The sequence below is a fragment of the Homo sapiens genome, chromosome 5, assembly GCF_000001405.40.
Source record: "Homo sapiens chromosome 5, GRCh38.p14 Primary Assembly".
Taxonomy (NCBI): Eukaryota; Metazoa; Chordata; class Mammalia; order Primates; family Hominidae; genus Homo; species Homo sapiens.
In genome coordinates this window covers 83513712-83528757 of record NC_000005.10, presented here as the reverse complement: position 1 = coordinate 83528757, position 15046 = coordinate 83513712, and the positions used below count along the sequence as shown (strand labels likewise).

The following is a 15046-nucleotide window of genomic DNA, read 5'->3' as shown; positions in this document are numbered from 1 at the left end:
CATAAACCTTTAAATCACCTTTTAGAGTGTAGGCACTTTTTACAAAGTAGTTTTATGCCATTTAACTTTGTAAGTGTGTAATTCTGAACCATGATACTTCATGGGAGTATATTTTGAAAAGGTAAATGTACTTAACCCACAGAACATGCTGTCTTATCAAAATGTGTGAATCACTGAAGCTCAGAAAAGTGTGACAACACTGCTTCCTCAAGAAGCTGGCAGAGTATCTCGGGTTTTCATGAACTGTACTAGTTTCTGCGTGAGGCCTAAGAAGGTATTCAGCTTCTGAAGCAGGCCATGTCAAACAGCACTGGGATGACATGGCCTCCTTCAGAAGCTGTTTAGAAACTCTATTTAGAAAAACAGCTGTTTATACTTGGGGCTCCTTAACCCCACTGGTGAGCCTAAGTTGGGAAGCAATTGGCTAATAACTGGCCTCTCATAATTGGATTGTAATCTATCCCTCCAACAGAGACTGACGTAAGTCTCCTCTTTCTCATGAAATATTCTGTAACTTCCTGCCTTTCTTGATTCCTTCTTTTTCTGACCTCACCTACCATTCACAATCTGTCACACCATACACCTACTGTGTAACTATATGTTTAGTATGACAACTGTATTTGATTGTGTTAATGTTAGCTGGCCAATATGCCTTTGGAGCACAGCCTATGGTTTATGTTTCTTTTATGACCACCTTTAATATCTGTCAAACGACTAGACATGCTATAGCTTTACCCGAAGGTAATTTGATTGACTGTGCTCTGCTAGAAGATGGTGTATGGGTCTCTCTCGAGGTAACTGCCAATAAATGATAAGTGGTATTTGTTTTAGATAATGCCTCTACCTCAGTGGTAGCTTTGATAATGGCAAATTGTAATTGCAAGTGCCATTTTCAGAATAGGCATTGGTTTATTTTAGGAAGAGGATAATAAAGTTCCTTTTAGTTATCAAAGTAACACCTTTTATTGTTAAATCTCAACTTTTGAAGAAAACACTTTCAATTTCTTAACTTTTTCCTCAGGGTTAGTGAGTTAGTACAACTACCCAAAGAAGTGTTAAAATATTGAGATTCTATATGTGTGTGTTTATATGTGCATCTATGTATTACGTATACAAAATATTTCACCTCAAAGGACTTTTTGAAAAGGTAATCTTTGGTCTATAGTACAGTGTTAAGCTCACTGATAATTTAGAATCATTAAGTTCGTTTATTTTCTTAACACTACAGAAAGGAAAGGAAGACAAACATTCTCTTCCCTTTTATTTGACTAATAGAAGAGGAACTCAATTCTTTTCTAGACTTGGGACAGTCCGTGAGAGATGGGGGAAGCCATTCTAATTATCTGCAGAAAAATGTGCTTCTCTGACAGACAGCCACAGCTGGAGCTCAGGAAAAGGAACCACGGAGGTGTGCAGGCACCAGACCCATCCACTTTCAGAGATGTGCTCCAAAACTCTACAGGAAAGAAGCTGCCCAGAACTGCAGAATAACGTACTACCAATTTCAGCACACTCTTTCCTTGCTATGTCAGGTATCTGAAGAGCATGCATACTGCCCCATATTAGCAGCAACCAAATCTAAATTATATACTCTTAACAAACCACTAGAATGCCAATGAGAAACCAGTCTTCCCAGAGTTTGCTCTTTCAGGAATTGACAGACAGGGCAGTACCTAAGCCATTGGGCAGGGGGTTGTTGTTTTCTCAGAGCTCATCAGGAGAGAGAATCACTTCATGGCAAAAATGCTCCAAAGAGGGCCAGGGCTGCTAGACCCAATGCCAAGAATGTCAGACTCAGTGTACCTTCGTTTGACTATCTGCTTTCCCTAGTTGTCTCACAAATTATCTTTGAAGTTTAAACATGATAATATATAGAAAAAGTGGTCTGAAAGTATGAAGCCCGAAGTGTGAGTTTGATGATGACTTAGTTTTGCACATACATGTGAGACTCTGACATACCATTATATATTATCTTGATGACACATAGGCATCAATAAGATTGAAACAATATTTGTTTAATGTGTTTTATTCAGCACCATGCATAGTGCTATTCAAAGGTAAATGTTAAATGTGTATCATTGTAATGAGATAAAGATATAGATAATCAGACCAATTTTTGAAACATTTTTACTTTTAAGAACTTAATTCTCTCAGGAATGAGTAACTGTTTTTGCTTTATTTTGAATGGTCTAGATATCATTCTTTTTCTAGCTGTGTTGTGAGGTACATGTTATTTTAAAAACCACCACAGGAGATGAGGAGGTCCCAAGGGAGTGAGGTTCTCGATGTCCCCCTCAAACATTAACCAACACAGCTACTCTTTTGTCTGTTCAAGATACAGGGGCTCTCAATAACATTTTGTTTGAAGAAAGGACCTGGATCTTATAATAACAAATCAGAAAGTAATTTTTCTATAATTAAAATGTTCTTTAAAATTCTGTAAGAACAGAAAATGTGTGATTTTAAAAAATTATATGAGATTATCTTAAATAAACATTACCTTTTAAAAAGTGATGACTTGGCTGGGCGCAGTGGCTCATGCCTGTAATCCCAACACTTTGGGAGGCCGTGGCAGGTGGATCATGAGGTCAGGAGTTCAAGCCCAGCCTGGCCAAGATGGTGAAACCCTGTCTCTACTAAAAATACAAAAATTCGCCAGGCATGGTGGCAGGCGCCTGTAATCCCAGCTACTCGGGAGGCTGAGGCAGGAGAATCGCTTGAACCCAGGAGGCAGAGATTGCAGTGAGCCGAGATCACTCCACTGTACTCCAGCCTGGGCAACAGAGCAAGACTCCGTCGCAAAAAAAAAAAAGTGATGACTCTGCAATCAATGATGTAAATATGGGTATCTGCCCAGATGGCTCCTGCCCTCAGAGCCAATGTTCCTTGTTCTTTATCCTCTCCATAACACCATATTTAGACAATAAGCCTTTAGCTTTTTGTATATTTCTCAAAATGTAATTAATCTTTAATAGCATTACATTAATAATTTTACCAACATCTTAATCTTTCTATCATTTAATTTAATATTGCTTTTCACCTGCACACATACATTTGGGTAGATACAAATTACAAAACCAGTAGGAAAAAGAACACCTAACAAGACAGCATCAAGCAGGCCTGACACATAATAAGTAGTATATATGAATTTGTTTGTTAAAAAAGGTAATAAGCTGCCTATTTTAAGGTTATAACTAAGAGCATTTGCATAATAATGTTGGTATTTAATATCCATACATTTCTAAATTATTCTTTGATTTAAAAATACCTGTTTGTCAGTTTTTAAAAACATTCACAGTTCTGTTCCACTACCTTGTAACATTTCAGGTGATTTAGAGGAGTGCTCTTTTAAAAAAAATCTGGAGTTGAAGAAACTCTTCCTACAGCTTCAAATTCTGGCCTTCATGCATGTTCACAAAGAAAGCCTTTCAATAATTTTTCAAAATGCAGGTGTGCAAATTACTCCTGAAATAGACAGGAGTAAAGTTTTCAGTATCCCCTGAACCACTGTTAAACACACCCCATAGCATTTTTCAGCTCATAAAACTTTTATGAGCTGAAAAGTTCTTTCAGATTTTTTTAACTGCTAACTACAGTTGCCCTCTAGCTAGAGCACCGTAAGTTGCTATTAAGATCCATTTGAGCAAGTATAACATAAGTGTGTCCTGAGTAGCATGTTTTGTTTCATAGTAGTAAAAAAAAAAAAAAAAACAAGATTTATATGACTCGCTGAGTGCAGCAAAAAATTATTGAATGCCTTGGTTTAGAATAGCATGGGTGGTATTTTTGCTTACTTGGATATACAGTATATATAAAGGTGTATTCTATTCCTGTGAATAGATTTATACAAGTTCACACATGCACCAAGGACTTTCCAGTCTGGAAAATTGTGCCTTGATACATAAAAAGGTTGGTTCTCCAGGCACATATGCACTTTTCCTTATTAAGGTATACACCTGCCTTGAAATTCATTAATTGAACATCTGCTTTAGGATTTTCCCTTGCCAAAGCTCAAAATGTTGGAGGATAAAATTTCTCATAGAAAATAAATAATATTAGTATAGGTGAGCAGTTAGAGGTGAGTAAACTTCATTGTCTTATGAAGACAATAAACAATGCTTTTAGTTAAGGAGAACAGCATATACAGAACACACAAAAATACAGATGATGACAGGTAGGTAGGTAGGTAGGTAGGTAGGTAGGTAGGTAGGTAGGTAGGTACGCAGGTAGGTAGGTAGGAAGGTAGGTAGGTAGGTAGATACATAATTATTCCACAGATACATCCCCTTGTTGTACACACATATACACACTCTCACATTAGAATTCTGCCTGATGGAAGTAACCAAGTATTGCACGGTTTTCTGACCTAATATTATTATGCAAAACAAAATTAATTTCAAGGTGGATTATAGTCTCACATTTTAGAAGCAGAAGGAGAAGAAACACCTATATACGTCTCCCAGGTCTAGCTGAATCAAGTCCACAACTCACTTATAAATGTACACCTTTGTATAAATTGTTTCAGGTTTAGCTTACTCAGACCCTCCACTTCCAGCAACCATTTATAACTTAGTTCTTTTTTTTTGATGACTGCCAATTCTTTCAGAGAGATCAAGTTTCACTTTTTCCATTTTGTAATTTGACTTCCTAACTGGCAGTTTCCCACTTGGAAGAGTTTTTAAATGCAGAACATTTTTACTGGGTTTTATATTATTCAACTCAACTTATTAGCTACACTAACAGAGTAGTATCAATTGAAAAACAATCTGCATATCCATTCAAGCATTTTTTTAAATTATGAAACTAAGTGTTGGTAGTCATTTACTTTTTGCTTCCTTTTACCTCTTTTTTGTTTTTCTTTCACCGTTATATTCCTGTCTCTTTTCCAGCCTAACGCAATCCTCATTCCGACTTACTGGCAATTCATTTTCTTTTTCCTACACCAGTTCCGAGAGATGGAAAAGGATGTAGAAAAGAGGAAATATGTTATGATTTCCAAGAAACAATATCATTAGCAAGAAAATCATGATCAAATCCTGTCCTTTTTAAACTGCATTGGGAAGTGGAGGTTAATTTTAATACTCTGTGGGTGTGTTCTCTTCTCTACTATTCACTGACAAGCAAAAGCTTTCACACAGAAAATTCTGGAGAGTAGAAACCTATAGAAGCCATGAAGTGTCCACCAACAGCACTACATGCAAACATACTTGACAATAACGCTACTTGTTTGTTTCCAATAGGTGCACTCCTGAGCACTCTAATGAGGATAGCATCAGTCTTCAGAAAAATGATACTCGAAAGGGAATATTCCAACAGTAAGAGAGAACCCTGCTTAAAAAAAAAAAAAAAAATCTTCTATCCTGTCTTCTCAGAGCCAGGTCAAGAAAACAACGAATACTCATTCATTTAATTCTTATATGAAAATGAAAATATAGCAAATTAACTAAAATCCATGATCGTAATTTCTAAACTAGAAAGAGACAAACCTGAATTGATTTATTGAACTGCATTTGCTATATATTCTCAACTCAGCTTATCAAATGTAAAAGATGGTGTGGGCTCACCTTTAGACAGCAATAAATCGTATTTGATCATGACAACTCCAAGTATTAATCAATGTAAACAAACAGCTTTTAAGAGTTCTGTCAGAGAGCTAAAATATTTGAGTGGAATAGAAGGCATCACAAATATTCCTAGCGGTAAAACAATTAAATCATAAAATGAACAACACTACAGCCTGGTTTTTAGGAAGCAAGGATAATGAATATATAGCCACCTTCTGAAATTATATTTAATACAATAAACTGTAATACTCCCTACAACTAAGCTAGGTTGTACTTGCTCTAAATAGATAAAACCACAGTAAAATACCCCAAAACAATAGCATAAGAATATGTTGCATTTACATTAAAATAACACTTACATTAGAGACCTATTACCCACCACACAAGTCATATAATAAACCTGTAAAATCCTGGAAGAGAAAAACCAAAGCAAACCTTTAAATATCTTTCTGTCAACCTTAGGGATATGCAAAACGATTTTAGCCGTCCACATTGTAAGTACTGAAGGTTAATAGTTAAAGACCAATGGAATGTTAACACAGTCTAGTGCTACACTTGAGTAGTAATGTATGAAAAGACACTGAAATTAAAACACTTTGTTCTGCATGTTTTGAAGTGATGTAACAGTGATGATTTGGTTATATTAGATGACAAAGCAGGGCTTCTTATGACTTTTAACATAAAATTGTATCTAACATTCTTCCACATTGTTTAACATATTCTTCCAATTCTTGTACAAATATATGAAGCTAAAACATTTATTTTTCACACTCCAGTTATCTTCTAATAGCAGCATTTGGTATGTTGACTTTTTTTCCCCAAAAGTAACTTTCAAGATAAAATGAGGATTGCCTTCAATGCTAGTCTAGAAAGCAAAGACTTACCTGTCTTATTTTCTCTGACCTCAATAATATAAACATTAATGTCAGGGTGAAATTTTGTGCTTGCTGGGGGCTGTGGCGTAGAAAGCGCCTGAGGTCCAAAGGCCTCTTTGTCTTCCACAGTGGGTGGTCTTGTTGGCTGTGTAGCAGGAGGACTTGAAGTCGTGAAATACTCTCTATCAATATCGGTTTCTGTTTCCTTGGCTACAATATCTTCAAGGGTAGTGGGAGGAACATGAGATGTTGATTCTCCAATGATTACCATGTCACTGGTTGTTTCTTCACCAGGTTCCCTGTCGATGAGAGGTGGTTTCTTAGTGATCGCGGAAGATGGCTTGAATGCTGAAGTTGTGTGAAGTCTGTCTACTGAACTGAAGGCAGTGGTAATATCACTTGGAACTGTGACTTTGATTGTTGAAAATTCTATGAGTTCTGTGGCTTTGGGCTTTTCAAATAATCCTGAGCCTAAATCAATATCCTCTAGGGATGTTTTCTCAGTAGTGGTTTCTTCCATAAGCTGGGTAATGTGGGTACTAAAAGGACTCAAAGATGATGTAAATCCTGTTGTACTACTACCTTCTGTTTCATATTTTTGTTCAGGCCCTGGACTTAAAGATACTTTTGGCCCAATGCGTGGTGTTAGTGTTACCACTTCATCTGTTTTCACTTTGTGCTCAGTTACAGCACCTGGTGGATAAGACACACTGTGATCAATTTTTCCAACTGGAGTTGTTTCTAAAACTGGGACCCTCTCAGAACCTGTCAACAATTCATCTTCAGAGACTGTATATGCTGATCCATCGCCCTCTTGTTCATCCAGTGGTGTTACTGCCTCCTTGGGAGTCCAAGCTGTAGAACTGAGAGCAGGAACTGGTTTCTCTGCAGTCTGTTCTTTCCAAGGGAATTCTTCCTGAGTTGTTCCCTCTGTGATTTTTGTTGTTCTCATAGTTTCTGGAGAAATAGTCGCTTCAAGGCGAGTCTGATCAATGACAAGTATGTCTTGAGAGGGTTCACCTAGAACTTCATCTTCTGATGGAACAGAAGGTACTAACACTCCCCAGTCTGTCTTGGGAATTACAGAAAGAGGAATGGTATGGGAAGAGTCTACATAAGTAGTAGGCTCTTGGGTGCTACTATAACTAACAAATGCTAATCCTTCCACCTCTGAAGTGTGTGCAAATTGGGGAACAGTAGATACTGGCTTAGAGAGGTCCACATCTTCTACTTCACCCAAAGCACTTCCTTCCATGGTTGCATAAACTTGGCCTTCAGTGCTTGTGATAGGTGGAACTTTTTCTTCAGTTGTAGAATCTCTCAAAGTTGACTTTTCTGCAATACCAGTTGATGTAGTTGGCTGAAATCTAATTGTGAATTTTCCATGGGCTGCTATGTCTTCATCAGTAACCTCCTCTAACTGCTTTTGAGTACTATCTGGAATAAGAGTAAATTCATCTGCTCCATCTTCAGTGAAACTTGGGATGTCTTTATCCTTTCCATTCATCCCCACAGTTGTGAGTAAGGCAGGGGGCAATTTTGAAGAGGCTGAAGGTTCTGTAGACTCTAAAGGCTTGGATGTTGTATTATCTTCATCCCATGACCATTTTGATACAGTGGCTGCTTCAACACTTAAAGTACCATGGGCCAAAAGCACTGTTGTAATATTTTCATCATATTTTGTAGTACCTGGAGTTGCTGTAAAGTCTTCCTCCATATCTCTTACTTCTGTTGGCTCTGCACTTAACTTTGTTATCAATGTTGGGAAATCAAAAGACTTGGTCATTTCCACAGAAGACTCTGTAACATGAATTGGCTCTGAGAGAGATGTAGAGAGTTTCATCCCAGAGAAGACTTCTTCTTCTGTTTTTCCCATAAATGGACTTTTAGTGATCTCTTCTTGTATTTCATCTGTATAAGTATCTGTTCTCATCTCTGGTATTAGTGTTTCTGTTCTTTCTCTTCTATGTGTCATTTCTGTTTGTAGAGAAGGATAAATAACTGTGGAAATTCCCTCTACTAATATTTTATCACCAGAATAAGGAAACAATTCTATTTCTGTACGATGCTGTGATGGAAAAGGTGTAGTAGACAGATATTTGCCAAGAAACTCTTCCGTTATCCTACCACTAGTTTGTCTCTCTTCCCAGTCATCCATGGATGATCCATTATTATCAGGCATAATTAAAGGGGAAACAGTTGTGGATGCTGAGACTGACTCCAAGTCTTCTAAATGAGTGTGGATGGTGTCTTCTGAAGTCTTTGACACCGTAATGACTTCAGGAATTTGGTCAAAGATCAAGGTGCTCTCATCAGATCCAACTGTAAGTGTTCTGTCTTCATCATCCTCTTCTCCCAAGGTGAATCCATAGTGACCTGTGGTTACCAATTCAGAAACAGTGCTTACCATTTTCTTTTCAGTTTTGGATTCCAGGATCATTCTTGCAGTTACCAATGGTGTTTCAGTTACAGGGAATTCCTTGGAAGGAATGTGCTTTAAGATTTCCATAGATGTTACCAAAGGACCCACTTCTATTTGTTCAATCTGTGTAACCGATTCTTGTGTTTGTTTATCTTCCACGACACCATCCCATGAATCCGTAGCATAATGAGAGACGCCAGTTGTACTCTGGAGCACTTCTTCCTTAATTTCTGATATGTCTAGCTTTCCAAGAGGTCCTGAAGCAGAAGGTGAGTAGTCATCCATATCCCAGGGCTTCTTGGTACTGCCAGTAGGTGTGGGTAATTTGGTGGCTAAACTATCTGTGATAGCCTGAGGTTGGACTGTGGCTTTCTGTTCAAAACTGACAATATTTCCCACGGGAGGGAACTCTGTTGGAATGACAGGTAATTCATCAACTAAAGGGATGATTGGTGTAGTTCTATCAGAAACCATTTGTGGTTCTTTGGATAAACTGGGTGATGCAGTTTCTGCGAGGATACTCAAATCGATGGTTGTAGCCTCTTTAGCTAGAAAAATAATTTCAAAGAGTTGATTAGACAAGTCACTAATAAAAACTTGTATGCCCAGTGTTTGTTAAGTGCTCCTGAGTATTTTGTAGGGAGTATTTTTGGGTGGCCCAGAAATGTTCTGTGATGGAGAGGAGTCTTAAAACTATACTTGAATTAACCCAAGGACAGATAATTGAACACTTAATAGTCATAAATTGATCAGTTGTTTTACGTTATAAGGGTTATCACTGCTTTTACCTAAAAGTATGCATGACTGTTACCAGTTGAGGAAAATTAATATTATGTAGTTTTAAGATAAGGAAAAGCTCCCAAAAATATAAATGCAGATTTTAGATACAGTAGATTGTTTATTTACCAGAAACTACAGCGTCAACTTGAAGCCTCGCAGGAGAATTTAGTACTATTCTTCTGGAGGCTTCTGTACCCTGTCTCCAGCTTTCTCCACATGCTCCCTTCTTTTCAAGTTGCTGCATATTATCTCAGGGGAGAGGGTGTGTCTCAGATTGCAAAACAACAAAAAAGCCACATGAAATGTATCCAAGTTACATATAAACCATTACATTGTCCATAATGTGGAGACTTTCATAAAAACAGGATATTAAAACTTTTTAATACCACTCTTCACTTGATCCCAGGTGTTGGACATTTGTCTTCATCCTTCTTTCAACTTCATGGTGTAGATTTGTTTCTAATAAATTATAAAATGTGCCTGGCAGAGGCTAGTCGGCATTTGTTGTAGTTCTACATTTTGTTCTATGTTCTACACACTCTGTTTGTATCTCCTAAGGATCTTGTTTCCAGGCTTACTTTAGCCTGAAACACAAATGTAGAACAGGAAGTAAAGTACCCACATAATGTATTTTAGGTCTGTAATTACAAATCACTGGGAACAACCCTAAGCATCAGAAAGAACAGGCTCAGGCAATATAAAGTAACCTGTCATCATAAAATGCTGCATTATAATGGCTCCAGATTTACAGAGAATGGCCTGGCCTGTTGAAAGAAATTTAAATTGTGTATAAAAGCAACAGTTTGTAAACAAGATTCTTTCTCAACACAGGGAAAAGGCAGCAGCCTACTATATAATGATTGTTTTTTTAAAATAAAAATCAGTATTTTTAAAAATAAAAACCTATTAATAGTTGCCACTGAACTCAAAAGAACTGTCCTGAAGAAACCTGTAGTTATTGTTTTGCTACATCCTATAGGACTTAAAGCTAGTTTTATGAGTAAATGCTTGTTTGCCCTGAAAAGAGGTGTAATAGCCATAGTATCTATAGTATCTTCTTTTTTATTTTTAATAATTCCAGAACAGGAGCCCTCAAAAAACAAAACAGGCTACCTTTTAGCTCCATTTGCTCTGTAAAAACTTAATCATAAAATGATGTGATTTTATTGTAAATCAGACTAGGGCTGTAACAGGTTCCTTATTTTTTGTCTGGCACGAGCTGTTATTAGTTGTGGTCATTCCCCAGACCATTTTAAAGCTCAGCTTCACTGATTTTATCATGAACATTTGAGGGCTATTTACATTATGATACATTTAAATATTCTTTAAAGTCTGTCATTATTTATCTTTCTAATATTAAAACAAAACTAACCAAAAAAGAGTTGGAGTTTAAAAACATTAAATAACCTTTTCCTCCCCTTTTTAAAGAAAAGCTTTTTCTACATTCATTTCCTGGAAGAAGCGTTGTTCTATTTTGATTGACATGAACAACTTAAAAACCCAAAATGTGGATGACTATTTTAATTCAATTCTCTATCCTCTGAAATTCCATAACCATTACTTCATTTAACTGCCAAATTTCATGTTTGTCTTATAACTGCATTCTTTGGGGAAATAGTAAAAAGATACATACAGAAAAAGTTCCCATGGAAACATAATATAAATACTTAGCAAACAGCATATTAGAGAAAATTTAATCATATTATTATTAATAACAACAAAAAAGCTAAATTTACTTTTTCCCTCTGAGTATTTCCTTGGCTGATGAAATTAACTTAGAAACAGGTACAATTGCATTAGGGCCAAAGGGGCTGTGAATCCAGGCTTCCTATGTTCCAATCCAAGCTCTCTGCTAGCAACTTTCTACAATGCTATGAAAATATGTTTATAGTGTTTTAAAAGTTGACTCATATTTTTAAAACTAAATAACTAGATTTCATTGTCAATTATTACTATGGAGTTTGCTGTTGCATTCCTTCCTCTAGTCCTGCTGTGTAATAAAGTGGTAGCAATATGTCCTAGAGAATCTGTTCTAGAAAGCCAGTATTTATGTGACTTTGTTTCCAAAAACAAGGGTTTTCAATAATTTTAGAGCCCTATTTTAAAAAAGAAAAGGTCTGCTTATAATTAAGTTAATTAATTCTACTACTTGGAATGGAAAACCTCAGACTTCCTTTTCAGTTTGGGTGGCTTTTTCATCAACTTAACAGCTGATTTTGATCACAAGTCAGTGTATCTGAGGATTTGTGCCATTTGTTTCAACCATTCCACAAAAGGAAATAATTTTATAAAGCACAATATCTACGAAGAGATATTTTAAGAATAAATACCACTGTATTCTGATGACTATTGTAAAGGTAAAAACAATTCCAGATTATTCTAACAGTGTCCTTCCAATAGGTGCATTCACATGGAGAAGTTTTGGCTCTGGAAAACTACCAGTATTCCTTCAACTTTATTATTGAGGAAGCCAACATAAATCAACACGATTCTTTTCCCACAAAAGTTCCTTTCCAACCTTTGCAGCTGTCTGCCCACAGATGTTTCACATCACTGTACTTATGGCATTTTTGTCCTATGGGCCATCTTCTCTGCTTCTGTTGCGAGACATGAGACAGATTTTCCTAATAAAACTTAAAACCCCCATTAGCAGCATGATAGTCAATTTAACTTATTCCCATGCTCTCTACATTATTGAGAAATGACTAATTTTAACTTGGTTCTTCTATATTAAATTTGTTATACATAACTAAATGTAAACATGGTTATAAAACTGTAAAGATTGGAGCAGTGAAATTACAATTCAAACTCTATATATATAATTTTTTTTTTTGAGACAGAGTCTTGCTCTGTAGTCCAGGCTGGAGTGCAGTGGCACAATCTTGTCTCACTGCAAGCTCCACCTCCCAGGTTCACGCCATTCTCCTGCCTCAGCCTCCCGACTGGGACTACAGGCTAGGGATAGGGTTAGGGTTAGGGTTAGGGTTTGGGTTAGGGACTGGGACTACAGGCGCCCGCCACCATGCCCGGCTAATTTTTTGTATTTTTAGTAGAGATGGGGTTTCACCGTGTTAGCCAGGATGGTCTCGATCTCCTGACCTCATGATCCGCCCACCTTGGCCTCCCAAAATGCTGGGATTACAGGCGTGAGCGACCGCGCCCGGCCAATTCAAACTATCTTTTTAAAGTTATATGAGTGATGGAATGCTAACAAATTCAAATTCAATAAACAGGAAACATTTGTAATATACCAATCGGGGAAAGGTTAGTTTTGGCACATGTGGTCAGATTATGAACTAGGGCACACACAAAAAAGATAATGAACTAACCAAAGGTTAGAAGGGCAGGCAAATTTTAACAGTGAATGAGTATATAAGATAGGATAGAAAGTGGTGGGAATTAATTTAGCCTTCTCTGGACCACCATCTTGATTTCTAAACTTAAGCATAAATAGAGGAATGTGCTAAACAATGATGAAACTTCAAAGCAAGAACATATCAATAATTAGAAATTTGGAGATTGAAACTGTAAAACAAGAAAACTGTTTCAGTTGGAGAAGATGCTGAGGGATAAATAAACAATTGTGATCAACAATAGAAATGGCTGTTATTCAGATTTTGGTCTCCAACTCAAAAATGAAAACATGGGTTCAAATTCAAATGCAAAGTACTTAATTAGAAAAATTATCTGAGAGTGAAGGTCATGGAATATTAGAATGAGTTTTCTAGGAAACATGTTCCATCTCCCTCTCCTGGAGATAATTAATCACATTCTGTGAGAGATTATCATGAGTTTTGAATGGTTTTGATTCACTTAAGTTTGGGGATGTATGAAATGATCTTTCAAAGCCTTGTATAACTCTCCAACTTTCACAGAACTTGCTAAATTCTGAAGTAAAAAACTAAATATGCAAAATTGTTTAATCATTAAGAGAAGATATACAGGAAAACTTTATCTTACAAAGACATTACTTTGCTTACTTTTCAAATTTATTTGAAAAGAATAAAGCCTAATTTTATGTCTTTTATCTGTCTTTGTGAATGTTTTAGTCAGTGACTTTGTGAGGCAAAGGGAATTAAAGCAAGGTACGATTTGGCATTGTTTATTCACCAAGTGACTTAAAAAACACTTTCTACGTTTGGTAGAAGCAAACAAGAAAAATATGGTTATATTTCTAAATTCCTCTACATAACCAGCCAGCTGTATATCTCTGAAATCACTTTGGAACTGTAGCTGAGGCCATGACTCTTATGAATTTTACCCTACAGAATTTAGTCACTACTTGACTATGTGGGAAAGGTGGACATCAATTAAGTCATTTTGAAAATATTTTTCAAATTCTTTAAAAATATATACTAGGCCAGGAGCAGTGGCTCACTCCTGTAATCCCAGCACTTTGGGAAGCCAAAATGGGTGGATCACCTGAGGTCAGGAGTTCGAGACCAACCTGACCAACATGATGAAACCCCATCTCTACTAAAAACACAAAATTAGCCGGGCACGGTGGCGCATGCCTATAACCCAGCTACTTGGGTGGCTGAGGCAGGAGAAGGCAGGAGAATCACTTGAACCTGGAAGGTGAAGCTTGCAGTGAGCTGAGATGGCACCATTGCACTCCAGCCTGGGCAACAAGAGCGAAACTCCACCTCAAAAAAAAAAAAAAATACACACACACACACACACACACATATACACTAAAAAATTTTTTGAAAAATAAATTAGAAATTTTGGAAAACTATTGGCATTATGTGTGGTTTAAGAAAGGCTTCTATATGGCTAAATGCTTTTAACCTTCTACGCACTAAATGAATTCTGAATATAATAACGTCTTAAGTAGGAAATAAATAAGAATCTAGCCACATGCTTAGGTGGGAAGGAAAGCAAAATAATGAGTCCATTATATTTACAAGTTACATACATGTAAATGAATTAGAGAGATAAAAATGAATATAAACTTTTAAACATTTTTTGAATTTTGTGCAGATTTTGGTTACTCTATTTAAACATAAGTACCTTGTTATTTCATGTGTATTTTTCAATTAAATAAATAATTTAAAACACATCAGGATGAATTCTTTAATAATAGTCTTTGTGGCTACAGACAGGCTTTGATTTAAATTTTACCCACAGAGAGACGAAAAATGTTGTTTAAAAGTTTTCCAGTGCCAGTTTTATTAATAAAGCACAAGAAAATATCAAATAAGGAAGTCAGGCTGGATAATTCTATTCGTTCCCTAATTTAACCTCTCCAATGCCTTCCCCACAGCATACCAATCTGATTTTGCTCCTTAATTATATCAGTCACGTAATGTAAAACTGATTTTAGAGCCTGAAGTACTTGAAAAATCATTGTTGTGACAATGTAGCTTAAAGGAATGTACATCTGTCTACTTTTAGAGATAAGG

The 15046-nt window shown here is 36.5% G+C and overlaps 1 protein-coding gene across 4 annotated transcripts in view; it reads right to left on the bottom strand.

Moving 5' to 3' along the window:
- The window catches only part of VCAN (versican), a 110559-nt gene that overhangs the window by 53545 nt on the left and 41968 nt on the right, over positions 1-15046 (bottom strand). For 2 of the 4 annotated variants that reach the window (NM_004385.5, NM_001164098.2), the window contains exon 7: positions 6449-9409. The exons of the other annotated variants lie outside the window; for them this stretch is intronic. In NM_004385.5, coding sequence (NP_004376.2) covers positions 6449-9409 — 2961 coding nt within the window. The remainder of the gene's footprint in view (positions 1-6448; positions 9410-15046) is intronic. 4 annotated transcript variants of the gene reach the window in all.